The sequence below is a fragment of the Homo sapiens genome, chromosome 2 (genome assembly GCF_000001405.40).
Source record: "Homo sapiens chromosome 2, GRCh38.p14 Primary Assembly".
Classification (NCBI taxonomy): domain Eukaryota; kingdom Metazoa; phylum Chordata; class Mammalia; order Primates; family Hominidae; genus Homo; species Homo sapiens.
The window spans coordinates 109,972,746-109,998,708 of NC_000002.12; the positions used below are offsets into that span (position 1 = coordinate 109,972,746).

Consider the following 25,963-nt stretch of genomic DNA (forward strand, 5'->3'; position numbering starts at 1 on the left):
ATCCTGGGAGAGCAAGGAGCATGGAGCCAGCAAGTGTAGACACGTTCCAGAGCCACGAGCCCTGGATTCTGTCCAAGTCACGAGGGGTTTTATGCCCTGGGCTTAGATTATGGTGCATCAGGGTAGCCTTCCACCCTTTAGCACAGAGCTTGGTGTTCCAAAGGCCACAAAGGGTTTTAGACCCTGGACCCCAGACATGTTCCAAGACTCTTTTACCTTATGTCAGACTTGCAAGCCCTGCCTCAGCTTCTCCCAACACTCAGCTTTTTCCCAACAGTAATTGCCACCTTGCTTGCAAAATGCCAATTCTCCACACGTGTGGAAATTACTTAGGAGAAAAACCTCATGGAATGACTTCTTGTTATGGATTTACCTCATGCATAAGGGTAAAGTTATTAAGTGGTACTGCACAGAGTAGCTAGCTCTCCAGCTCTAGAGAGTGGGCAGAGCCTCACTGCAAACGTCAGTCCACATCTGCTCCAATAGTGACCTCAGAGAGGCAGGTTTTCTGTCATCTTGTGATGTGTAGGTTCATCAGATCAACTTGTTCTTGGTTGTTGCTCACTCTTGGGCCTGGCCTTGGCCCTGGCCCTGCTTATGTTCTCTTGGGTCTTTCCTCAGACCCCTGGCTGACAGCCTAGCCAGCACCCCTTGACGTCCCCTCCTGTAGGAAATTAAGTTTCCATTAAAGGTAGAGTGAGCACCTGTCACAACTTGCCCTTCCACAGTTATCACCGGGTACCTTTCATGCATCGTCCCCTGGGTGGTTAGAATATGATCTGGCCCCAGCCAAGGCAGTTGGGTGTTCCACACAGCAAGGATTACCTGACTTTGCAGTGCACAGCCCTCTTCCCAGCCATGCTTCTTATTCTCTTTGTAATTCCTAGCAAGTCACTGTCCTTTCTAGGCCTCAATTTTCTCATTGTGGAGGGAGAAAACTGAATTGGGAGATCACTAAGGTCCTGCCACTGTGAAAATTGGTGCCTCTGTAAGGTACTAAGAATTTCAGAAGGGCAGGTGTGAAGCAAGCTGTTCAGCATTAGGGATGGTGATGGCTCTGAGGCCCCATCACACCCTATGGGGGAGAGCGAATGTTACAGGAGGCTTTCTGGTGCCTCGTGCACATGGACTGTGCATGTGGGATTTTGCCTAAGGTCAGCCTTATATGCATTGTGGAACTAGGGTATGGAAAACCATGAAACATGATTATTTTCTTCTAGCATGCCTGTCTATGACTTCAACTGGTGGTATTCTTTGTACTTTATAATCTACATTATCATTAATACCTACATCTTCAAGTCTGTCTTTCTGGCCATGGTGTACAGCAATTATAGGAAGCATTTTCACATACTGTGTGTGTGTGTGTGTGTTTTGTAGTGATGAACAGAACTTGTTATTTACCCAATTCTATTATCTATCATAATAGTAAATTAGCTACTATAATAGACAAAAGTATGACTCTCAGTTAAATAAGAGATTTTTAAAAAATCTTGTTACAAAAGAAAAAAATAAAAAAAAACCATATTGTGTTTATACCCTTAGATAACTTCCCTCCTCCCCGAGTCAATTTAAATCTTTATCCCACCTCAAAAACAGCCCAGATTGACCCCTGGGAACATCCAGGAAAGCAATGAAGAGAGGGGTGAAATGCTCTAGGCCAAGAACTCCCAGCCTGCAGGCCTCAAAACCCTTGGAGGCTGCAGTTTTGGTCACATCCGTGAGTCTTTTTGAGAGTACGCTGCTCCTGATACTTGGACCGCTGCACTCCAAATGACCCCACAGCCAACCCCATGCTTTATGACAATGGCAGTGGAGGAGGAGAACAGACCACTTGATTCTCCTGATGGAGATTTTCTCTTTTCTCCCCATCAAGTCTGGATTTTCATCTCCAGGGTAACAAGGTACAGGAAGAGCAATCAATTGCTGCTGCAGCCAGTAATAACCAACCCAAGCCAGTTTATGGAAGCCCACAGGAAGCTTCTCTGAGCAGTATAGGTAAATCAATGTAGACCCACAACAGTGTTTTCCCCACTGGACCTGGTGATGCCACTTGGAGGGAAAACAGGTGGGCCCAGCCCGAACTCAAACACTGTCTGCCCTGAACCCTCAGCAATCCACACCTAAGTGGCTGAAGTCAGGGGACTTCATGCTGCTAATGTCAGGGGACTTCATGCTGCTCAGATCAGTGGCTCTCAAGTCGACCTCCACTCTGAACATGGCATTGGCAAGGGGTCTCTCTGCCAAATCGGCTCCTGCTGTATATTTGGGAGTCACACAGACACATCTACTACCTCTAGCGTCCCTCAAGAGTTTGCTGCTGCACAAATACAAAATCAAGTCATCCTGGTTTCTCGGTGTCTTTCCTGATGCTGTTTTAGATGAGTAATGCCTGCTTGCTTTGCCTAGGCTCAGGGCACTGTGCTCCTAGGACTAGTGGCCACAACCTTGTCCTGCTGAAGGCCCGCAGGAAGCCCTTAGGACACGAGCACTTCCACTGTCTGGTGCTCTTGAACTGGTTATTTTAGGGAGATAGGGTGTGTCCAGCTATGGGCTGGTCTCTGTGGGGCTGTGACAATTCAAAGTGACAGTAAACGGACTCAGTGTTAAAAGGTTCTCTGTGCCAGGGGTGCGTGGTGGCAGAGGCTGAGATGGATGGGTCCCAACCCATCAGCCCTGCCTTACCTGTGCTCTCTAGCTACGCCCTCATCCATCTGAAGCATGTGGGTTGAAGGGGGAGGCAAGTAAGGCTATCCATGCACAAGGCATGCACAAGGCTGCCCCACCCTGTGGTCTGTCAGTAGTGCATGTCTCTTTAGGACGCTGGTATGTGCCTCTGGTTTTATAGCTCTTTGCCCATGGCAGCTCCGATGTCAGGTGGCCTGGGCCCTGCACAGGTCGGTGGGAGGGTGCAGGCCCTGGGTGAGGAGATCAGGGACATGATGGCTCATTGGACCTCAAAGGTGATGGGAAAGAGAAGTGTCTTCCCTGGCTCCCCACACAGCAGTATGTTGGCCTCCAGGGCTGTTCCATCACCCATGACAGCATGGACCGCGCTGTAGCCACTCTGGAAAGCGACCCTTGGAAGGGAGCTTGTGCGGGAGATAGGAGGACTGATGTGCACCCAGCAGTGTCATGGGGACAGGGCGCTGGCCAGCTGGGTGGGACTCACCCTCCTGACACCCAGTTTCCAGGATACTCCTTCACCCCCACCCCAGGGCAGATCCCTGCCCTAGATTTTCTCCCTCTCATGTCCAGCAAATGCTGTGCCAGAGCCCTGGAATTCCATGGGGCAAGCTAGGAAGATGGAGAGCTGAAATGAGGAAGTCATCACCTTTTCCAAAGAGAAGGTAGGCCCAGTACCACCCGGGTGCCCCTTGGGCAAGCTCTCCGGGCTGGGGAACAGGAGTAGGGGCTATGTCAGGTGCAGACAGAAGCAGGGAATCTTCCAGGAGGCACTGTAGAATGTTCCATTGCAGCAGCTCATACCCTGTCAGGCTTAGACATTTAGACATTGAGACTTGGAGATCCCCGGCAATTCATATTCAAGGTCAAAGGGCCAGTGACAGAAAGAGGAAGGCCCACTGTGTCATTCACAAAGTGCATCCAAACCCATCATCCCAGGTGACCCTCACAATAACCCCGTGAGATTTGCAGGCCAGGAGCCTCCTCAAAGGAGGAGTCAGGAATGTCGGGGTTAACAACTCCTCCAAGTCAGGACCAGGAAATGCTATCTCCAGCACCAACCTAGGTTCCCTATGCTTCCTCCCACACCACAGCTTATGGGCGACTGCCACCTCATGGACAGAGCCCTTCCCTGTCCAATTTCCACCAGGCTCCTTCCTCTGATCATCCCCTCAGACACCTTGTTTTCTGAGGCCAGTCACTCTGGGAACTGTTGTCCTTGGCAAGTGGGGACCTGGGACTTTGCAGAAAGCAGATGCTAAGGTCATACTTGGCTGGGACCAGCATTGGACAGCAAACCTCACCTTTTATTTTTAAATTTTATTTATGTACTTATTTGAGACACAGTCTCATTCTTACCCAGGCTGGAGTACAGTAGTGTGATCATGGCTTGCTTCAACTTCCGCCTCCCCAGCTCAGGTGATCCTCCCATCTCAGCCTCCCTAGTAGCTGGGACTATAGGCTTGTACTGCCATGCCCAGCTAATTTTTGTATTTTTTGTAGAGACAGGGTTTGGCTATGTTGCCCAAGCTGGTCTCAAACTCCTGGGCTCAAAAGATCCTCCTGCCTCGGCCTCCCAAAGTGCTGGGATTATAGATTTGAGCCACTGCGCCTGGAGAAACCTCACCTTTTGAAACTCATGCCTTGTTTGTCCTCCTGCCAGCACATTGGTGCTGCCTCCTAAGGAAGCAGCAAACATCCATTATCAACAAATATGCTGACCTTCTAGGGTGATTTAAGATTGGTGGTCTTTGATAGTGATAGTAAAGTGATTGAAATATTTATTCCATCCTCTACAAAACTCAAGTAAAAATAGTTTTCTGCATGTGGTCCTCAATATATTCAGTCCATGGGTTCAACCAATCACAGGTGAAAAATATAAAAAAATAAAAATAAAAAAGCAATACAGCGTAACAACTATTTACATAGCATTGACACTATATTAGGTGTTATAAGGAATCTAGAGATGATTGAGAGTACACAGGAGGATATGTTCAGGTCATATGCAAATACTACACCATTTTCTATCAGAGACTTGATTGAGTCTCTGTGGATTTTGGTATCCTTGGGGATCTGGAATCAGTCCCCCACGGACCCTGAGGGCTGAGTGTGCGTCCATCCTGGGATTGATCAGTGTCTCCCCAGAGTCTCCGAGAGGCTCAGTCTTGCTCTCTCAGTGTGATTTTGTGATATTATAAGCATGTGACTGGTCTGTGTCCCCAGTCCCTGGCAGTAGAGTTCTTAAGCCCTTGCAGTTTTCTGAGACCTGTAGGGGTGACAGGAGCTTCTTTTTTTCTGAGGTGACTCTTGGTAGGCTCCTAGGAAGCTTCAGGGTGGCCCTGGTCAGAAAGACCACACACATGATGAGAGGGTTGAAACAGTCTGTGTGACCTCTGCACCCCCAGGGAGAGAAGAGGGCTGGAGATAGAGTGAGTCACCAGTGGCCAGTGATTTAATAAATCATGCCACATGATGGAACCCCCATAAAGCCCCCAGGCAACTGGGTTCTGAGAGCTCCCACGTTGGTGACCACAGGGAGGTGCTGGGAGGGTGTTGTGCCCAGAGGGTATAGGAGCTCTGTGCACCCCCTGCCACGGTGCCCTGTGCATCTCTTCCTCTTGGCTGTTCTGGAGTAGTGTCCCTTATAATAACCAGTGATAGGAAGCTGAGTGCTTTCCTGAGTTCTGTGCATCATTCCAGCTAATCATGGAGCCTGGGGATGGGGTTATGCAAACCCTCCATTGAAAGCTGGCCAGTCAGAAGTACGAGAGGCCTGGGGCTTGTGATTGGTGTCTGAAGTGAGGGCAGCCTTATGGAGCTGAGCCCTTAACCTGTGGGGTCTGCACTAACTCTGTTTAGTAAGTGTTAGAATTGAGTTGTGCATAAAAGCAGTTCGGACTAGGCTGGCCATAGAGGAGATGACAGGCCTGGTGCAGATTCACCTGGGAAGGGAAGGCAGCTGATGAACAGGGGCTGCGGGATACTCTCCTGGGCTGCCAGGAGCCAGTCTATGGCCCCAAAAGCATAGTGTGTAGGGTTTTAGCCTGGAATCCAGGAGAGACTGGGGAGAAGCCCCAGTCTGCCCTCCACCTCCTGCCCCGCCCAACCAGTTCCTCTAGACTGATGTTCTCCTCTCTCCTATGACTTTCTACCCTAGGGGGGGTCTCTGTAAGCCAATAATTGATTAGAAAAGTGAAAAGAAAGCAAATGAAACCAAGAGTCAGAGTCTTTTAGTGGGCTGGGCTTAGGGTTCCTTCATCAGATGGATGTCTCTGTCTTTCTTGCATATTGATGACTGGATGCACTGAATGCAGTTGCATTACAGGAAAAAGATGTCCACCTCACACAAATAATGGAAGAGGGTTCCAAAGCCCCAGGCTCACCAAATGCAGGAGAAGCCACCTTCTCATCATCTAAAGTGTGCTGCTGCCTCAGCAACGGGCCCAGAGAACACTCAAAACGAGTGTTAAATTCCAGGCCCACATCACAGCGCTGGGGGAGGAAACTGCTCTGGGTCCATCGGGGCAGACCTACTCCTCCTAGCACCTAGATCCTTCCATCCTGGTCTGGGACTACCTGTTTTTCATCAAACTTACTTTACTGCAAGTTTCTTTCTTTCTTTCTTTCTTTTTTTTTGAGACGGACTCACTCTGTCGCCCAGGCTGGAGTGCAATGGCGTGATCTTGGCTCACTGCAAGCTCTGCCTCCCAGGTTCACGCCATTCTCCTGCCTCAGCCTCCCGAGTAGCTGGGACCACAGGCGCCTGCCACCGCGCCTGGCTAATTTTTTTGTATTTTTAGTAGAGACGGGGTACTGCAAGTTTCTTTACTCCACCTACAACCCAGACACTGGCACAGTTTCCCTCCCATCCTTAGAGATAGAGGGTAAAACCACATGTTTGGAGGTTTAAAGATTTCCCAGAAGTCTTTTTCTAATTTTCTGGTATTAAATTGGAAAGGAAATAGAATGCACAGATGAAACATGCAAGGTGATGAATTTTCGCAAAGTCAATGTGCTGTGCAAGTAAGACTCAGGTCAGAAAACAGATTTATCCCAAATTTATCTGATAAGAGGACCCCAAATGCTTCTCAGGCGTGCTGACTGCTCAGCCTCCTACTCCATGACATCTCCATCCGTGCAACACCACCTCCCCACAGCTCCTGTGGAAGGCCTGGATTGCTGCCATGTGAACTTGGAAATGTCAATTCTCCTTCTGGCCATGCTGGGTTGAAGTTAAATGATTTCATATATTGTCTTCCTCCGTTAATCCTTCCAGTGGCTTCTCTTTATATCCACATTAAAACCCAAGTACCTTTCTTGCCTATGTAGTAGGCAGCCTCACTAATGGCTCCCCGTGATCCACACCCCTGGGATACACATCCTTGTGCAACGCCCTCCCTTTGAGTGTGGACTAGACCCTGTTCTAATCACAGAATATGGCAAAAGTGATGGGATATCTCCTCCAAGCTTTAGTTGTTAGTAACCATGGCTGACATTTTCTCAGATCTTCTCAGCTCTCTCTTCTCCCCTCTCTCCCTCCTCTCTTTCTCCTTTCCTCTCTCTGAACCCTGGCTCTGGGGAGCAGCTGCTCTGTTAGGAGCTGCCCTAAGGGGAGGCTCCTGTGGCTTAGGACCCAGAGAGGACAACAGAGGGGAACTTGGCCCTTCAGTCCACATGGAATCCTTCCAATAGCCCCATGAATGAACTTGAAAGTAGATCCTGCCCCAGTTGAGTCTCAGAGGAGACCTCAGTCCAGCCCCCTGAGAGACCATGTGGTAGAAGCACCCTGTTGAGCTGGGCTGGGCCTGGGTGAGCGCCCATTGTTACGGGCGGTTACGGGTGGGGCAGTGTTTCCACGCAGCAGTGGGGCCATCATACGGTGGACCTGGCCCAGGATCTGCTCCACCCTTCCCTCCCTCCCCTGCTCTCCCCCCAGCTCCCTCCAGCCACGCTGTCCCCCTTTCTAAGCTCCTCTCTGGACAAACTAATGTCTGTCCTAGAGCCCCTGCACAGTTCCACCTCCCCACACTGTGCTGGAAATGCCTGCAGGGCTGGCTCCCCCTTGTCATTCTGCTCATGGCATGACTGTCACCTCAGGGAGGCCTTTTCAGATCCCCCCACCATGAAGTGGCCCCCAGCCTCCCCTGCATCAGTTGCTTTACTTCGACACAGCACTTGCTCCTTTCCCCACTTATATGTTTTGTGGCTTGGTCCCGCTCCCCCTCCAGATGGTGCGCTCCTGGAGGGCAGGGACCATACCATATCTGTCTTTTTCACTGCAGCACCCAAGCTGAACTCAGACCCTGGAACAAGGTAAGTGCTCTGGGTATCAAGACTGAATGAGTAAATGAGAGGATCTGGAGCCCCTCACTCCCACATCCTACCACGGACCAGCTCGGACTGTGGAGATGGATGCTGACAATAGGAAATGCAGGTCAGGTTGGAGGCAGGGGAATGGCCTGAATGACCCCTGGCTCTTCCCTGGCTCAGGTGCTCCCGCAGAACACAGTGGGCACATGTCTCCCCCTGGTGGCCAGAGCTTGCACTGCATCCAAAGAAGGAAAACCACAACACAGAACTTGCAAGGCAAATCCACGCTCCCACATCCCAGGGGGCAAAAATCCAAGAGGATTGAGAGAAATATCAGAAAACCCTCTTATTCCTACTGCCAGCACTGGCCTGGGGTCCAGACACTTCCAAGGCCTCCTCACCACATCCAGGGAGGTGGCCCCGGCTCCACTTCCACAGTAGGAGGACCTGAGGCTCCCACACTGGGGTCTTTGCCCTTGTCCAGGGATGCGTGGTCCATGCTCTGCTGCTCCAAGTCTCAGTGCATCAACCACCCTGCCTCTCTCTGCTCAGAAGGAACTCCAGGGGTAGAAAGCATTTTCTAAGAACCTTGGAGCACAGTGGGTCACCTATGGAGAGCTGGGGCAACGGAGGCTTTCTGAGCCTGTGGGACTCTTGGGGTGACCCACGCCAAGCACCTCAGTATGTAGGGAAGGAAACTGAGGTCTTCTTTCCTGTAGCCCCTTCAGTCTAGGGGGCTCATCCTGGTTGAAGGTGCCCACAGCAGTGGACACAGGACCCCAGGCCCTGCTTTCCCCTGACTGCCGTGGAGGTGGTACCAGACCAGGCTGACCCAGGGGACCTTAGGGATCCCCCAGCCTGGCCTCTTTGCATCTCTCCCCTTCCCATGCTATGGGCCCTGGTCATGGTTCTGGTGATTGGATGCTGCTGTCTGTAGCAGAGCTGCCTCAGCCTCTTTCTTCTTTCCCTTTGTTACCTACCCAGGATCCGCTTCTCCTCCCATCCTACCCTTAGTCACCCCCTGTGATGTCAGCTTGTGCGTGTCTGTGGGTATGCACCTTTGGGGATGCTGAGAGGAAACAGCCTCTCCTGGGAAAAGTGAGTCAGGGTCTGCAGGATTTTAGGGGCTCCGATTCCCAAAGCAACCCCATGGGATATGGTTCAGCCCTGGCCTAGGAGATGGTAACTGGACTCTGCCCATGTCCTGTGTCCTGGGCCAGCCCCTCCTCTCTCTGGGCCTGGGTTTCCCAAGTGTCTAATGAGGGGTTGGACTGGAACTGCATATGGAAGTCTCAGTGTGGACCTGTCTGGCTCCCTCCATACCTGGTGGGTGAGTGGGATGTGCTCTGGGGTAACCTTGGGCCTCCACATGAGTGGGCATGCGTGAACCTTGAAGGAGATGCCTGGGCCTCATGCCCATGGCCACACATGCACACACGGTCTGCATGGGCCCCAGGCGGCAGGTGCACCAGAGCCACACTGCACAGCACATTGCATGGCACCAGTGGTTCCTCCAGCGCGTGTCCCACGGTTCCTGTCTCCTGCAACCAGGAAGTAAGCCAACCTTACTTAACCACATGGACTTGGAGGAAGGGAGTAGTTCCCCAGGGGGAAACTGAGCCTCTGTGACTATTAGAAGTGGCCATGGATGTGGGACCGGCGAGAGCCCCAGATCTTTACAGTCATGCCGGTCACCTACACCCCTGCCTCTTGCAGGAGCGTGTGTCCCAGGGAAGGGCAGGACTGGTCCCAGCTCACAGAGATTCAGGGAAAAGTGAGTGCCTCAGCTGGGGTTAGATTTGTCTACACACAGCAGAAAGTTCAGAACAGTTGTGGCACAGACAAGAGAGAGCGCTTTCTTTCTCCTGTTAAAGAACTCTGGAGGTGGCTGTCCATGCTGACCCGGGCTGTCCCCATAGCCATCAGCCAGCACCTGTCCTGCTGTCCCAGAGTCTCAGTAGCTGACTTCTGTCCTCAATGCTGTCTCTGGACCCCAGAGGGCTGTGCTTCAGAGATAGGAAGAGGAGAGAAGGAAGGACCAAGACCTGCTCAGCTGTGTGAGTTCCAGGCAGACAGCCTCTGCGAGCCCCTCACAGTGCCTCTGCTCATGCCCAGTTAGCTTGGACTTGTTCTGGTCACCTTAGCTACAAGGTAGGTTAGTCAGGAGCGGTAGCCTTTTCGCTTGGCAAGTTGTTGCCGAGGATAAAACCGAGCCCTCTGTTCTTAAGAAACAGGGAAGTATGAAAATCCCGGGTGAAGACCAGCGTTGTCTCCCTGCACTGAACTGCAAGATGAAGGGGAGGAACTGAGTTACCCTTAGATAAATTGGGAATTTATTTGTCTAAAACAGACTCTCTTTTCTTGGTATGTATTCATTGAAGAGAGAGAAAAAGTCATGGCTCTCAGCCAGGATATGTGAGTAGGAAGGCTGCTTTCAGTGCCTAAGCAGGATGATAGGAAGTGATGTGTTGGCTTCCACCTGACTGTAATTTGTAAGGAGCTCTGAGAAAATCCTCTTCTGTTTCATCAATGGGGCAAGGCCAGCACAGGGGTTTATGGAGACTTCTAGGCAAGCAGCATGTTCCTAAAAGCTAAGACTAATTTAAATCTCTAAACTAAAAAAGTAGAATGGTTTGACCCCACCATTTTGACTAGAGATATTTCAATTCTCATAGTGAAGATTAATAATACAAATAATCCACGCAAAATGGATAACGGTTAAAACTATATGTGATACAACTTACGATGACCAAAAATTGTTGGAAGAAAAATATTTTGGAAAATATTTTGTTGTGTTTAATTTGATCCTGAAAAGTTGACTTAAAGAAATACTGATCCCTAAAGAAAACTTACGATAGCAGAATCTGTAGTCAGTTAATTTTGATGTGGCCCAAAACAGAGTCATTTAAATAAAAAAAAATCCTGATAAAATAGTTTTGGTGAATTAAAAATAAGAGTTGATGAGCTAGAGGCTGGGCATGGTGGCTCACATCTGTAATTCCAGCACTTTGGCAGGCCGAGGCAGGTGGATCACTTGAGGCCAGGAGTTCAAGACCCACCTGGCCAACATACAAAAAGTAGCCAGGCATGGGTGAGGCATGTCTGTAATACCAGCTACTCAGGAGGCTGAGGCAGGAGAATGGCTTGAACCCAGGAGGTGGAGGTTGCAGAGAGCCGAGATGATGCCACTGCACTCCAGCCTGGGTGACAGAGCAAGACTCTGTATAAAAAAATAAAAAATAAAGTGGATGAGTTAGAATTGGGTTTCTATCCTTTATTTTTATAAAATGGATCAAGGTTTTAACATGTCTGAATAAAATTTGCCATGGACAGCTGCCCAACCTTGACCTGCTCAATCTCTTCCAGACCTTCTGCCAGAAAGTGGGCCTGCTGTGCACGCTTCAGGGTAAGCTGCAGCCCCAGGACTGGACATTGTTGGACGAACTGCTGCAGGGCCTGCAAACACTGCTGCTCATGATTTTGTGGCAGGCTTCCCGTGGCCTCTTCCTGCACTACCACGTGGAGGCCCTAACCCTGCGTCGCATCAGTAGCTTCCGCCAGTACAAGTATGACCTGGTGGCAGCGGGCAAGGCTTTGGAGGGCATGTTCTGCAAGCTCAACCACCTCCTGGAACACCCGCACCAGCTGTTCTTCCTCTACCTGCTCCCCACTCTGTCCCGCTTCGTCTCCATCGGCCTCTACATGCCCGCCACCAGCTTCTTGCTCCTGGTCCTTGGTTTCAAGGCTCTGCAACTGTGGATGCAGCTGCATGAGGCCGGAGTGGGCCTTGAGGAGCTCAGGGGGGTCCCTGACCCTAGTGTCCCCCCTCCCCCAGCACAGGATGGTAAGCACACAGGTCCCAGACAGGGGCTGGATGGCTCTGAAGCTGGTAGCCCTGATCTACCTAATACTGCAGCTGGGCTGCATCGCCCTCACCAACTTCTGACTGGACTTCCTGCTGGCCGCCACTATGGTGCTGCCGCTGTGCTCGCCGAGCCTTTGGGCCCTGGACCCTCTGTGCTGTCCTGCTGGTGTTGACAAGCCCGGCAGCCACGCTCCTTGGCAGCCCATTCCTGTGGCGGGAGCTGCAGGAGGCACCACTGTCACTGGCCAAGGGCTGGCAGCTCTTCCTGGCAGCACTGGCCCAGGGTGCGCTGGAGCACCACACCTAAGGCGCCCTGCTCTTCCCACTGCTGTCCCTGGGCCTCTGCCCTTGCTGACTACTTTTCTGGAATGTGCTCTTCTGGAAGTGAGATCTGCCTGTCCGGGGCACCAGGCTGGGACAGAGACTCCCCAAGGACCCCATTCTGCCTCCTTCTGGGGAAATAAACAAGTGCCTGTTTCAGCTGCTTTAAAAAAAAATAGAAAAAAAAAATGCCCTGGAAAATACTGTGTTAGCAAAAAGATTTAAAGATTGGTATAATTCTGATTTAAATGTTTTATTTAGCACAAAATCAAACATTGCATAGGAACAAAATTTTCTGAGACAAAATGGCTGGGTTTAAATGGGTTTAAATGTCTAAAAAATACTTAGCTAACAGTGTGGTTAAATTTTTACTTATTTTATTTATTTTTGAGATGGAGTTTCATTCTTGTTGCCCAGGCTGGAGTGCAGTGGTGCGATCTCAGCTCACCGCAACCTCCACCTCCAAGGTTCAAGTGATTTTCCTGTCTCAGCCTCCTGAGTAGCTGGGATTAGAGGCGCACACCACCACACCCAGCTAATTTTTGTATTTTCAGTAGAGATGGGGTTCGCCATGTTGACCAGGCTGGCCTCGAACTCCTGACCTCAGGTGATCCACCATTCTCAGCCTCCCGAAGTGCTGGAATTACAGGCGTGGGCCACTGCCCCCGGTCAAGTGTTTTTCTTTTTTTCTTTTGAGATGGAGTCTCACTCTGTTGCCCAGGCTGGAGTGCAGTGGCACGATCGAGGGTCACTGCAACCTCCGCCTCCTGGGCTTAAGCAATTCTCCTGCCTCAGCCTCCTGAGTAGCTTGGAATACGGGCACCCACCACCCCACCTGGCTAATTTTTTGTATTTTTAGTAGAGATGGGGTTTCACCATGTTGGCCAAGCTTGTCTTGAACTCCTGACCTCAAGTGATCCGCCTGCTTTGGCCTCTCAAATTGCTGCGATTACAGGCGTGAGACACCGCGCCCGGCCCCGGCCAAGTTTTTAAGCAGATACATTAGTTACATGTGCTGAAATATCAGATGACTCCCCCAGATTTCACTGACTTCACATTATATTTTGGGCCCACCAGAAGTTGCTGGCTGGGCGTTCAGGGTAGAGGCTGCTTTCCTCTGCGTGGGCATGCAGGAACCCAGAATCTTTCCATCAGGTGCCTCCGTCATCTCTGGGACCTCCTCCCACCTGCATCTATCGGTAGAAGGGGAGAGTGTGAGAAAGGCATTGGAGGCTTTTGTGGGCCAGCTCTGGAAGTGGCTCACCTTAGTCCATTGCCTCCCTTTGGCAAAAGCTGGTCATAGGACTACACCTAACACAAGGGGACTATGAACTAGAGCTTTTATTTATTTATTTGTTTGTTTGTTTGTTTGTTTAGGCCCCATGGGGGCTGTGAACTGGAGCTTCTATTTATTTATTTATTGTTTAGGCACCATGGCCTACACTCCTTTATTAGAGTGAGGGTCCCGAGGACCAGCCCCCATATATGATGGGTCCACTTGAGCCTCCTTAGGAGCCCCATGAGGGAGTGATGGCTTGGGTAGGGAGCCAGGGACCTTGCCCAGCCCGACACTGGAGCAGGAGAGCGGCCTCAGTCCCCACCCCAACCCCAGAAGAGGGCGGGGCGAGAACCGGAGTCAAATCTTGGGCCGGGTCCAAGGGCCTGAGCGCCTGGTTTAGGCCGGAAATGGTCTAGTTCTCAGAGGTGGTCCGATCCCTAACCAGTCCCAGGCCCAGCCCCAGCCCAGCACCACCTGGAAGGTTCAAGTACATGGAGGAGAGGAGTAAGGCGGACTTGGGCGTATGGAGAAAGGGGTGAAGGGAGAAAGAGGACTTGCGCTCAGGAGGGAGCGTGGCCTACTGGTGGGAAAGCAGGCGTGGCCGCCTGTGCGGGAGGTTGCGGATCCACAGTGGGCGAGACCAGGCCCCAGCCCCATCAGGGCGCGGGGTGCGCAGCCAGGTGGTGCTCCAGCAGCGCCCAGTGAGAGGAGACCTTGCGGTAGACGGGGGAAGGGCGCGCGCTCTGGCCGCTGAGTGCGCATGTGCATATTGAGCGAACTCTTCTGCGGGAAGGGCTTGGCGTAGACCGCGCACTGGAAGGCGTGCGCGCAGGTGTGCGTGACCATGTGCTTGAAACGGCAGTAGCGCAGCGAGAAGGATCGCCATCACACGGCGCACTGGTGCGGCTTCTCCCCCGAGTGGATGAACATGTGCTTGGTGTCGTTTTTCCTTGAGCTGAACGTCTTGCAACAGTGGCCGCACGCATAGGCAAGTGGCTCGGCACCAGGAGTGCGAGCAGTGGTGCCTGAGGGGGCCGTGGTGGGAGCAGCAGAGGGAGCCGGGGCCTCCCGCAGCTGAGTGCCGGGGGCTGCCTCGGGCTGGAGTGTGGGGTAGAAGGCGGGTGGGGGCGCAGGGGCTGGCACGGATGGTGCTGAAGGGGGTGGTGCGGGTGGTTCGGGAGCACCCAAGTGAAAGGGGAAGAGTGCGACAGGCGGCCCTGGGGTCTTCACGCCAGGCGGGCGGGGTCCAGCCAGTATGCAGTCGGGCTGGACAGGGGTCTCGGTGGGACAGCCTTCGGGGACAGCGCCATCCTTGTCGTGCCAAGCGGTTACATAGCTGTCTGGAAATACGTCCTCAGCTGCCCCAGATCCCGGAAGAAAATCTCTCCCACACCACTGTAGTCAGAGAGGCCAGTGGGTGCATGGAACTCCTCGCACGCGCTGTCAGCAGCAGCAGTGAGGAAGCCGGCAGCACAGTCTGGGAAGGAAGGAGGTGCTTGGCTCTCTCCCGGGCCGCCACCTTCGCCGTCCTCGCCATCGGTCTCATCGTCAGTTTCCTCGTCATCGTTGTCACCTCGGTCGTCAGGGGCCGCGGACAGTGAGGGGTAGGCACCAAGCCCCTCGGCTTTGGCAGGTGTCGGGGGCGCAGGCAGCTGCAAACTCGCGGGCCGGCGCTGCTTACCGCTGTGCGCGGCACCGGGGTGCCCCGGGGGTGCGCAGCCAGCAGGTGGCGCAGGCGGTGACGCAGCTGCTCAGGTGCGAGTGGCGGGGGCACAGGGGTGGGCAGGGGCGCGGGTGCAGAGGTGCTCGCGGGTGCAGAGGAGCGCGTGCGATAATCTGCGTGCATTCGTCGATAACTGTCTATGCGAAGCACCGACGCAGCCATGAGTACCTGCGGGGCTTCACTCTGTGCCACAACGAGCGAACCGCTGTACAGGAGCTCGACTAGCTGTCGCACCGTCTGCACAGGCACCACCGAAGGCACACGGATCTCAGAGGGGCCGAGCAGCAGCTTGTCTTGGAAGGAGGGCGAGCCGATTGCCAGCCCGCAGCGGTGCGCACGCAGCGAAGCTTCATGAATGCACACAGTCACGTCGCAGAAGTGCCCACCCAGCTTCTGCCCATTGAGGGTCTCAAGCAGAGAGCGTGAGAAGTTCTGCAGATGTATGTGGCGCACAGCCTCTACAGCCGCCGACTCCGACTCCTCTTCAGGCACCAGGCCTGGCCGTGGCCGCCTTCTCACCGACTCCAAGGCAGCACTTCCGGGCGCTTCTCTTTATTTTTATACAGTTTTATTGAGATATAATTTACATGCTATCCAGCCCATCTATTTCAAGTGTACCATGCAAGGGGTTTGTATATATTCACAGAGTTGTGTATCCATCACCATCGTTTTAGAACATTCATCACTCCAGAAGAAACTACGTACCCATCAGCAGCCACTGCCCATTTCCCTGATCTGCCCCGCCCTAGGAAATCCGTAATCACTTTCAGTCTATGGATTTGCCTATTCTAGACCATTCATATAAATGAAGTCACACAACACTGGGTCTTATGTGACTGGCTTCTATCAAAGTTTGCAAGGTTCATTTATGTTCATGGTATGTATCAGTAGCTTGTTACTTTTTATGTTTGACTTCTATTCTGTTACTTACCTACACCGTATTTTATCTATCTCTTCTGCAGTTTATGGGATTTAGGTCGTTTCCACGTTTTGGCTGTTCTAAATAATGCTGCTCTGAGCGTTCACATACAAGCTTTTCACATGATTTCATTTCTCCAGATCTAGGAGTGCAATTGCTATATTATATGGCAACCCCGTGTTTCACTTTTTGACAAAGTGCCAGACTGCTTTTCAAAGGACAGCATCATTTTATATTCCTGCCAGCAATGTCGAGGGGTCCAGTTTCCACACATTCTCACAAACACTTATTGTTATCTGTCTCTCTAGTTATTGCCTTCCTGATGGATGTGGAGTGCTTTCTCATTGGTTTTGATTTGCATTGTTTAAATGAGTTATAAGATTGAGCATGTTTTCATGTTTATTGGCTGCTTGTATATCTTCTTTGGAGAAATGTCTATTCAGATTGTCTCCCCATTTTAAAATCGTGTTATTTTCTTTTTTACTATTGACTTGTGAATGTTCAAACATGTATATATATATATATATATATATTTTTTTTTTTTTTTTTTTTTGAGACGGAGTCTTACTCTGTTGCCAGGCTGGAGTGCAGTGGCACGATCTTGGCTCACTGCAATCTCTGCGTCACGGGTTTAAGTGATTCTCCTGCCTCAGCCTCCTGAGTAGCTGGGACTACAGGCATGCACCACCACACCCGGCTAATTTTTGTATTTTTAGTAGAGACGGGGTTTCACCATGTTGGCCAGGATGGTCTCAATCTCCTGACCTCGTAATCCACCCACGTTGTTCTCCCAAAGTGCTGGGATTACAAGGTGTGAGCCACCGCGCCCGGCCCAAACATATTCTTATACAATTCTCTTCTTAGATATAGGGTTTGCAAACATTTTATCTCACATTGTAATTATTTTTTCATTTTCTTGAAAGTCTACTTTGATACAGGAATATTTGTGAATTTTATAAAGTACAGCTTATCTATATTTTCTATTATACTTGTGGTTTTGGTATGATATCCATAAAATCATTGCCTAACCCAAGGTCACAAAGCCTCAGTCCCATATTTTCTCCTACGTGTACTAAACTTTTGGCTTTTATATTTAGGTCTTTGATCCATTTAGGGTTAACTTTTATAAATGGTGTGAGGGAGGGGACTAACTTCAGTCTGTACATGTGAACATCAATCTGTCCCAGGACATTTTTGAAAAGACTATTCACTCCCCATTGAATTGCCTTGTCTCCCTTGTCAAAGTCACAACAATTACTGTCCTCATTTTTGTATCTGGTCACATGTTCCTAGTTAGTAACTATAACTACCCTCTTCTACTACGCATTCTGTATTCCCTTAGCTTTCAGCAAGCAACTCAGTTGGTCTTGATTCTTTATATGGGGCAATGACCCAAACTTTCCTTCCTGAAGGAATTGGGCCATTGGCAGCTGTGCCCGAATTGGGTTGTTGTAGTTTTCCATTAAATTAATCACAGGGCATGGTAGTAGGTAGCACTGAAGACACCCTAGGAGATCCCATGTATTCCAGAAGTATTATTTCTTAGTTCTGTGGAGTAGAAGCAATTAACCCTTGGTAGTCAGGATCAACCACCTCTGCCAGCACGGTAACTCCCTTCTTTGCCTGTCTATTCAGAGGCATGAGGAGCTCAGAGTGGACAGGGACTATCTTAACTTCCAGTTCAGTAGAATCATTTCTTTGTATCGTGGGGGATGCATTCCTCCTTTTGGGACCAAGACTTCTAGACCAGCAGAGCATAAGATTGAGGGACAGGAAATGAAAATTTTGCTGGTGTGTCACTAGGGGTAATAGTGATGATGAGAACCAATTGGTGTGGGAGACCATGAGGTGGATAAGGCACTCTGTAAGTCCAGACAGTAGTGTGATTTTTATGAAGTACAATTTATCAGTGGTGATAGGAACATTGAGGGTAGGAGGGGAAATTCTCATACATAGTGTCTGTTTCAGTGAGAACAAGACACTGCCTCTTCTATGATGGAGGTGGTTCAGAGTCACAGCCAGGTTACCTTGGGAGTGGAAGTCCATGTTGCAGAGCCCAGGCATCACCTCCACCCCTGCCACCATGGCCACTGTATTCATGAGCCCATTGAGCAATGACAGGGGTGGCTGGGGAAAGAGGCTGAGTGGTGTCCACAGAACAGGTCATCCTATCTGCTTGATTATTGAAATCCTTCTCTGCCAAGGCCACCCTTTGGAGAGCATTTACATAGCACTCAATGCACTCTTGCTTTTGGTTTACTCTTTTACTAGGTGAAACCAGTCCTAGTGGCTCATAACTGGGTTTTCCTATCATACTTGTCCTCAGTCCGTAGGTGAAACAACAAATGTAGGGATGCTGAAAGTTGCTGAGTATGTGTCTATTCCAACCACAGGGTGGGTTCAGGGACACATTGGATCCACTGTGAAACAGACATGAGCTCACACTCCATCCACCAGCTAACCTCCATAAGTCCCTACTCTGGTGGACCACAGTGATGTTTTTGGTCTCTGGGAATTCCTGTCAAATCAGAGCCAGTGTCCAGAATTCCCCAAATATCTGAGAATTTTCTTTTCTCTAAGTCACAGTCATCCTGGTAGAAGGCTGTAGGTCCCTTTGGGGAAGACTGGGAAAAAGATTAACTATGTAAGTTTTTGGCAATGTAGCAGCGTACTTCCCCAAGATCACCCAGCCTCCCCTTCACTTAGGGGTTGTGGGCCTGTGAACTGGCTCAAGTCTGGGAATTGATTGAGGGTTTAGATCTGTGTTTCATTAATTTGAGTTAGTCTTTTATTCAGTTGACCTAGAATTCTTCATTTTTTAAAAAACAACTAAGACTTTGGTACAGCCCATTAGCTCTCCCTGTGGATACCATGGACTACACAATGCCATGGGTTTCTGTGAGTCAAACCATTCTGACTGCTGCTTTGACACTGCTTTCCACTGTAGTGACCACACCCACCTCATCTTTGGTGATTAAGGACAGCCCATGTTCCCTGCCACCCCAGGATTCAATTATCCTCATTTTATTTAAAGATCCCAGTCCAGTGGCTGCAGTTTCTGCTGTAACATTTTGCCTACTGAGAGCACGAGCTCAAAGCTCTTCCAGGATACTGGGCTCCTCTCACAATATTCTTTCTCATGATCGTTGTGAGAAGTATGTTCTGTAGACCCTCCAGTGTGAGTGAGCAGGTCTGACATAATAAATCCAGTCTCCCTGAGTTTTTGCATACCTTCCTATACACATAAACCAAGGAAGTTGTGACATCTCAACTTTATGTACTTTAGGTAAACTCTGATTCTGTTTCAGCCAACCAGCCAAGTAACAAAACAAATAAGCAAACAGCCAACCAATCAACCAACAAGCAAGCAAGCAACAAACCAACCAAACAAGCAAGCAAGCAAGCAAGCAAGCAACCAACCAACCAAGTAACCGATCAAACCAACCCTTGGAGCCCTTTCTAAAACTTTGACCTACAACCCTGAATCCAGAATCTCTGTTTAGTGGGCCAACATTAATAAATTTAGCCTACTCCAACTTTGTGTTACTTCCACCATGGTGCCACACACTTAATATCCATTCCCACATATATTCTCCAGATTTCTTTCTGTATAAATTGTGTGTGTGTGTGTGTGTGTGTGTGTGTGTGTAGAAAGAGAGCATCAACTGAAAAATCACACAATTTTATAAATTTAGAAAAGAGAGCTTTATTTCTTATAAAGGTTTGCAGCCTGCAAGGTGGCCATTATGACAGGCTGGGAAGTGTGGCCTACAGCCAAGGCTAGAGGCAGGCCCTTCCAGGGAGGGAAGGAGAGGACAGGAATTTGAGCTGAATGAGTTGACTACATATACATACTCAATAGGATATCAGAGGAGCTATATCATTTTATGAGAATACTCATAAAAGAGGTCCTAACACATGCATATTGAATAAACATGCATGTTCATTCTGGGGTGGAGACTTGACATTTAAATGTGTTATAATTAGGCCCTACACATCAAAAAGTGAAGCAGGGAATGAAGGTACTCAGCCTCTGTAAAGGCACAGCCTCTAAAACTGGCCAGAACCAGTCCATGGAGGATGGTCTCTTATCAGGAGAAAGTTACTGAAATCAGTCCCTTGTCCAGTGAAAGCTGTCGTTAAGGTCGGTGGGGCAGGAGATCAGTTACTCAGTGTCTGTGAACTGGGTGAGTTGTAATTGTTTTAATCTTGCTTCTCTCATAGCCAGTGCTTGCTTGGCTGCTAGAGAAAAATAAAAACTATGTGGTAGTTAGAATCTAGTTTATTCTTTAAGAGTAGGGTACAAGACTTAACCCTTGCCTGGCATGGCCCTAGGTCCTGTTTATAATTTGGGGTCTTATTGCCACAAAGAGTCTGTTCTGTCAGTCTCATGATCTCTATTTTAACGTTAATGCTGTTCAGTTGTTGGGTCTAAACCATAAGAGGGAGAGAGGTACAGGGAGTTATGTCTGACCTCCTGTCCTGTCATGGCCAAGAACTGAATTTTAAGATTTATTTGAGGTTCCGTTGGCCAACAGGGGGTCTGTTAAGTCGGGTGGGGGGCTTAGGGTTTCATTTTTAGTTCTCAAGGGAGATAAAATAATTTAATCAATTGGCCCCTGTGACTATTGGACTAACATGGCTATGATCTGTCAGACAGACTTCAGGCTGGCACCCAGGCAAAATTCTATACTGTAGTAAATGCATCATGCACATTTGTAACAACATGTACATAACAATGTCACAAAATACTTTCACGGTGACACCTAGATTAGTGTTTTATTGAATAGCTGATGATATAAACTGGCTCATTTGATGCCAAGACTGACCATCACCACCATACCAAGGTCATCACTGATCAGAGGCCTAACCCAAGGAGGGGGTCATGTGCAGACCCAGCTGTGGGGAGGAAAGATGCTGCAGAGGAGACGGATGCCCACAGAGGCCCCTGAGTGGATACAATGCTCACTAAGTGGTAAGTATAGACTCAACGTAGGCTGTCAGGTCTCCCCCTGTGCAAATGGGACATCCACTTGAGAGTCAAGGGTCTGTTTGGGTGGCAGGGATAGCCACTTCTGAAGGTAGAAAGAAAAATAAGCCACCAAATTGGTATCTTTCTGTGAAATGGACATCGTGCTTAGAGTCTCCATTTTCCCCACAACCTGGAGGAATAAGTATTGTCATCTGCATTTTATAGCTGAGGAATCTGACTCAACAAAATTAAATTACTCACCTAAGCAATTAGCAATTAACCAAGTCTTTCTGATTCAGAAACCCAGCTGTTGCCTGTTCATATCCAGCCCCTGTATTGGGATCAAGATCTGCCCTATTCTCAGTGCAGCAAGATCCAGGCAGATCACACTGGACTCCCAGCACTGAATCTGGCTCAAGGGGACATGAAATTTGACTGGGTCATGGGGCTCAGGAGCATCACTCTCAAAAATAGCAGTACAGGAAGAGGCGATGGCCCTAAACAGCATTTGCAGGCAGATCCCATGTTAATCATAAGGGCCAGGACTCTCTCACTGTCTGTCTCTCTCTCTGTCTCTCCTCTAGGGCTGACCCCACATTGGACACCGCTGCATCCATGTCCATCACACAACACAGCTGCCGTTTCTTCTGCCTGCTTATGGGAAAGTCCCCTCTTCTCCTCCGTTTTCTTCTCTTCCTGCCCTATCACACCGTGCACTTCTCCCTTTCCTTAAAGAACCACCATCAACTTTAGGAGGAGGGAAAGGGGTGGCTCTGGCAGGAAAAGCCAGAATCCCCTCTAGCCAGCAGAGAGAGAGAGGAATGGCTGCATGTTTTCTCCCCCAGTCCAAGGCACTGGGTCTTGGCTGGGTTGAAGGTTCCAAGCTGCTCTCCTGCTGTGTCGGTGAGTTCTGGTCAACCTGCAACCTCCTGATATGGCCATTGCAGTTCATCGAGTCTTCAGGGACTCCCCATGGCCTGGAGTACTTTGCCTTGCTTACACGGGAGAGGAGAATGGATTTATAGAGAACATCATCTAAATCCAACTTGACCATTGTGTGGCCACACTTGCTAGATTGCTATAGTCTAAATCTAGCATTGTAGAAAGACGGGGGAGCTTGGAGCTGCACAAACCCAGGTCTGGAACTGGCTCCTTACCTTGGAAGGTGAATGATCCTGCCAGGACTCTTAGCCTCCCTGGGTCTCAATTTCTTTATCTGTTTCATGGGAATGAGGATCTCTGCTGGGTGGTTGGGTGATGTGGGGGCTGTGTGAAAACAGCTTGTCAATACAAGCCAAAATAGAAATATTTCTCCACAGAGTATGAAGGTCAAATGAGAGAATACATTTAAATTAAATGGAAAATTAAAATGGTAAAAAATGCAAAGCTGTATTGAAAGTTCCGAGCTTCTCTATAAGGAGCTTTTTGACTATGGAAGAATCCTGTACTCGTTCCCCCTAAATATAAAAAAAAAGTTGAAGGAGGCAGAAGGGAGAGTGATGCACGATGGGCAAGGACTTCACCTGCTGTTGCTGGCTTTGAGGATGGAGGAAGGAGGCCACAAACCTAGAAGCTGGAGCCCCTAGAAGCTAGAAAAGGCAGGGACCCGATTCTTTCCTTGAGCCTCCAGAAGGGACACAGCCCCGCCAGCACCTTGACTTTAGCCTGGTGAGATCCTCTTAGGACTTTTGGCAATCAGAACTATAAGACAGAAATGGAAGCCACTGAGTCTGTAGCTGTTTGTTGCAGCAGCAATAGAAAACTAATGCAGGGCCCAAGAAATCACTGGTGATGAGATCGGGAAAGTGGGCTCAGGAGGTCTGGATCTGTGATGAGATGGGGAAAGTGGGCTCAAGAGGTCTGGATCTGTGGTGAGATGGGGGAAGTGGGCTCAGGAGGTCTGGATCTGTGATGAGATGGGGAAAGTGGGCTCAGGAGGTCTGGATCTGTGATGAGATGGGGAAAGTGGGCTCAGGAGGTCTGGATCTGTGATGAGATGGGGGAAGTGGGCTCAGGAGGTCTGGATCTGTGATGAGATGGGGGAAGTGGGCTCAGGAGGTCTGGATCTGTGATGAGATGGGGGAAGTGGGCTCAGGAGGTCTGGATCTGTGATGAGATGGGGAAAGTGGGCTCAGGAGGTCTGGATCTGTGATGAGATCGGGAAAGTGGGCTCAAGAGGTCTGGATCTGTGGTGAGATGGGGGAAGTGGGCTCAGGAGGTCTGGATCTGTGATGAGATGGGGAAAGTGGGCTCAGGAGGTCTGGATCTGTGATGAGATGGGGGAAGTGGGCTCAGGAGGTCTGGATCTGGGGTGGGGATCTGGAGTGGAAGGGGAATTCATTTGTTCATTGTCTATCCTTTTGTATTGATTGAATTTTTTATATATATATGTGAATTTTCACAATAAAATTTTTTTCCAAAATAAAATAAACAAAAGGGGCTTTTTGCAACCCAATTCCTATCTATGTCTGAGTCCACTTGTATTGCATGGGTCTTTCTGCTAACGTCCTTATATTTGGGTGACAATCTGAATGTCAGCGACCAATCAGAGCAGAGGCAGACTTTGGAGTGGGCAGGGCATCCTGAGGGCCCTGATTCCTGCCATGAGACGTAACCCTTTAGGTGCCAGACCATGGGGAGGTCCAGGGGTTGCAGGGGAGGGCTGTGCATCTGCAATGGCTCTCAGGGGGGCTCCCGGTGGTGGCAATCGGTGAATCTGCACAGTGGTGCTTCAATATTATCACAACCCTGCTGTCTCTCATGCTCTCAAAAAGCGTTTCTCTTACCTGTGACAGACTTCCTATACCTAACAGCTTGCAAAAATGTTTCAGGTTAATGAGAATAATCTCTTGGAGCCATACCTCCCTGCTTGGGGTCTCAGTTTCCCCAGCTGTCTCCAGACAAGTTAGGCTAGAAGGCCCCTGAGCCTCAGCCCCTCTATCCCCCTCCTGTCACCCAGACCTGATCTGGGTCTTGCACCCTGGGTGCAGCATGACAGGGGTGGGCAGGGGCTGGCTCTGGGCCAGAGGACCCTTTCTGATGGACTTCAGCTGTTGGCCTTCCAGGGGAGACTGATCAACCTCACAAGAGTCATAAGGTGAGTAGCGGTGGGCAAATCCATCCCCCTCATCTTAGATTTATGGGGATACAGAGAGAAAGAGGAGACACTCCAGGAAGACGTGCAGGTGGGAGTACCAGGTTGAAACCAAGGACACCTTCCTGGAGGAGCTGCTGTTTGAGCCAGCTCTGAGAACAGGTGGGGACAGGACTGGAGAGGAGGAGGGGGTGCCCTATGAGCAAAGACTGGCCACCACCCCATCTAACACCCCCACAGGGCCCCTGTGGCATCCCTGTCCAGTCCCTGTCACCACCCACTTTTTCCCTCTGGACCCAGGAATTCAAAGTAAGCAAGGAGGTCCGCTGCTCCAGTTGGCTGCAAATAATTACAACCTTGAGCCCAAGCAGCACTTTGGGTCCTGGTTTGGGACGATGAAGCAGCTCGGTGAGACTGAGAGGTAAGGCCAGGGCAGGAATTGGGACACTAGGATTGAACTCTCCCTGGGGGCCAGCCTCAGAAAGCCTGTGGCCATGGCCTCTTGGCCAACATCAGATCCTGTGGTCTGGCAATGCCTGGGGTACCCAGACCTCACTCTGCACAGGCCCTGGGAGGGGGCCCTGGTGAGATTCCTGGCAGCCTCACAGCCACTCTTCTGTCCATAGCTACAACCTGTCATGCCAGCTGGAGGCTCCATCCCAGTTGGCTGGGAGCACAAAGGCCAGGAAGGTAGACATCACCCACCACAGGGGCCAGTCGGGGCCTGAACCAGGGCGGGCAGAGGTTGGCTGCCTTGGGCTATGGGTGGGCTCAGGGAGTCAGAGAGCAAGGGACTAGCCTCCCATCCTACTTCTGACCAGCCCTGTGACTGGGGAGAGTCACCTTACTTCTCTGGGCCTCAGTTTCCCCCTCTGTGGAGTGACACTAAATGCTCTCTCTGGAGACTGGGATCAATGGGGCACTGGTGATTGACCAGGCACTCAGCACATGCCTGGAGCACACAGTGCAGGGCTGTGGTGGGGAGGTGGCCTGGGTCCCTGGGGAGGCACCCATGTGTGCCTGCCCTTCCGACCAGCCACCAGGCCCTCAGGGCAGAGCCCACTACCAGCAGCAGCTCACACCCCGAGACCAGCTCAGAGGCGGCCCCTACCTCAGCAGCAGGGACATCACGGACACTTTGAGCTGGTACTAGGGCAGCTTCTCCGGCTCCCACCTGGAGAGGGGTCCCAGCTGAGTCCCACTCACGTGAAGTCTCATGCCCCTGAAAGTGCCATTCACCACTGGCCAGGCTCATGAGGCCACATGAGGGGGGGGGTGTCACTGGGGAGGAGATATGGGGGGAACAGAGGGGTGGTTGAATTTTTGTATAATAGGCAGTGCAAGTGTTTACCGTTTGGGAGGGGAAAGGTTTGTTATTATTAGCAGTGCTACACTTGAATATTATACTAAAATCCAGTTTCTCTATAACCTGGGAGTTGCTCTTTTGTTCTTTCTTTTCCTGTCTTAATTAAAATGAGATGCAGGTTCTCACGGTCCACAGTCGATTAAGAAATCTTGCAGGGCCATCAGTTATGTCTTGGAGAGCAGGGTTTCAGTACCATCAGCCTGGCAAGGAGCTGGGCCTGCCCCTCAGAGCTCCCGGGACTGCGAGATTTGGCACATTCACAGGGCACTGTCACAGCCTCTGAAACGCTGTCTTTAAAGACATCTGCAGGCTGGACGCGGTGGCTCACTCCTGTAATCCCAGCACTTTGGGAGGCAGAAGCAGGTGGCTCACTTGAGGTCAGGAGTTTGAGACCAACATGGCCAACATGGCAAAACCCCATCTCTACTAAAA

General features: G+C 50.3%; 1 long non-coding RNA gene and 2 pseudogenes across 3 annotated transcripts, besides 2 other annotated features; 2 read left to right on the forward strand and 1 right to left on the reverse strand.

Annotated features, from left to right (window-relative positions):
* Positions 8,083–8,584: an enhancer, noted in NCBI's record as "H3K27ac hESC enhancer chr2:110738405-110738906 (GRCh37/hg19 assembly coordinates)". NCBI's record gives its function as "activates a minimal SCP1, AML or CMV promoter by ChIP-STARR-seq in primed H9 embryonic stem cells {active_cell/tissue: H9 hESC(primed)}" and the evidence as "EXISTENCE:reporter gene assay evidence [ECO:0000049][PMID:30033119]".
* Positions 8,585–9,084: an enhancer, noted in NCBI's record as "H3K27ac hESC enhancer chr2:110738907-110739406 (GRCh37/hg19 assembly coordinates)". NCBI's record gives its function as "activates a minimal SCP1, AML or CMV promoter by ChIP-STARR-seq in primed H9 embryonic stem cells {active_cell/tissue: H9 hESC(primed)}" and the evidence as "EXISTENCE:reporter gene assay evidence [ECO:0000049][PMID:30033119]".
* GPAA1P1 (glycosylphosphatidylinositol anchor attachment 1 pseudogene 1) lies at positions 11,320–12,343 on the forward strand (annotated as a pseudogene).
* ZBTB45P1 (zinc finger and BTB domain containing 45 pseudogene 1) lies at positions 13,601–15,618 on the reverse strand (annotated as a pseudogene).
* LINC01123 (long intergenic non-protein coding RNA 1123) lies at positions 14,235–22,536 on the forward strand. Of its 3 annotated transcripts, NR_046110.1 has the most exons (4): positions 14,235–14,445; positions 14,816–16,057; positions 20,890–21,074; positions 21,656–22,536. It is a non-coding gene; the product is annotated as a long intergenic non-protein coding RNA 1123 (long non-coding RNA). The 3 variants fall into 3 exon arrangements; NR_046111.1 differs by lacking the exon at positions 20,890–21,074; NR_046112.1 differs by lacking the exons at positions 14,816–16,057; positions 20,890–21,074.
* The last annotated feature ends 3,427 nt before the right edge of the window (positions 22,537–25,963 follow it).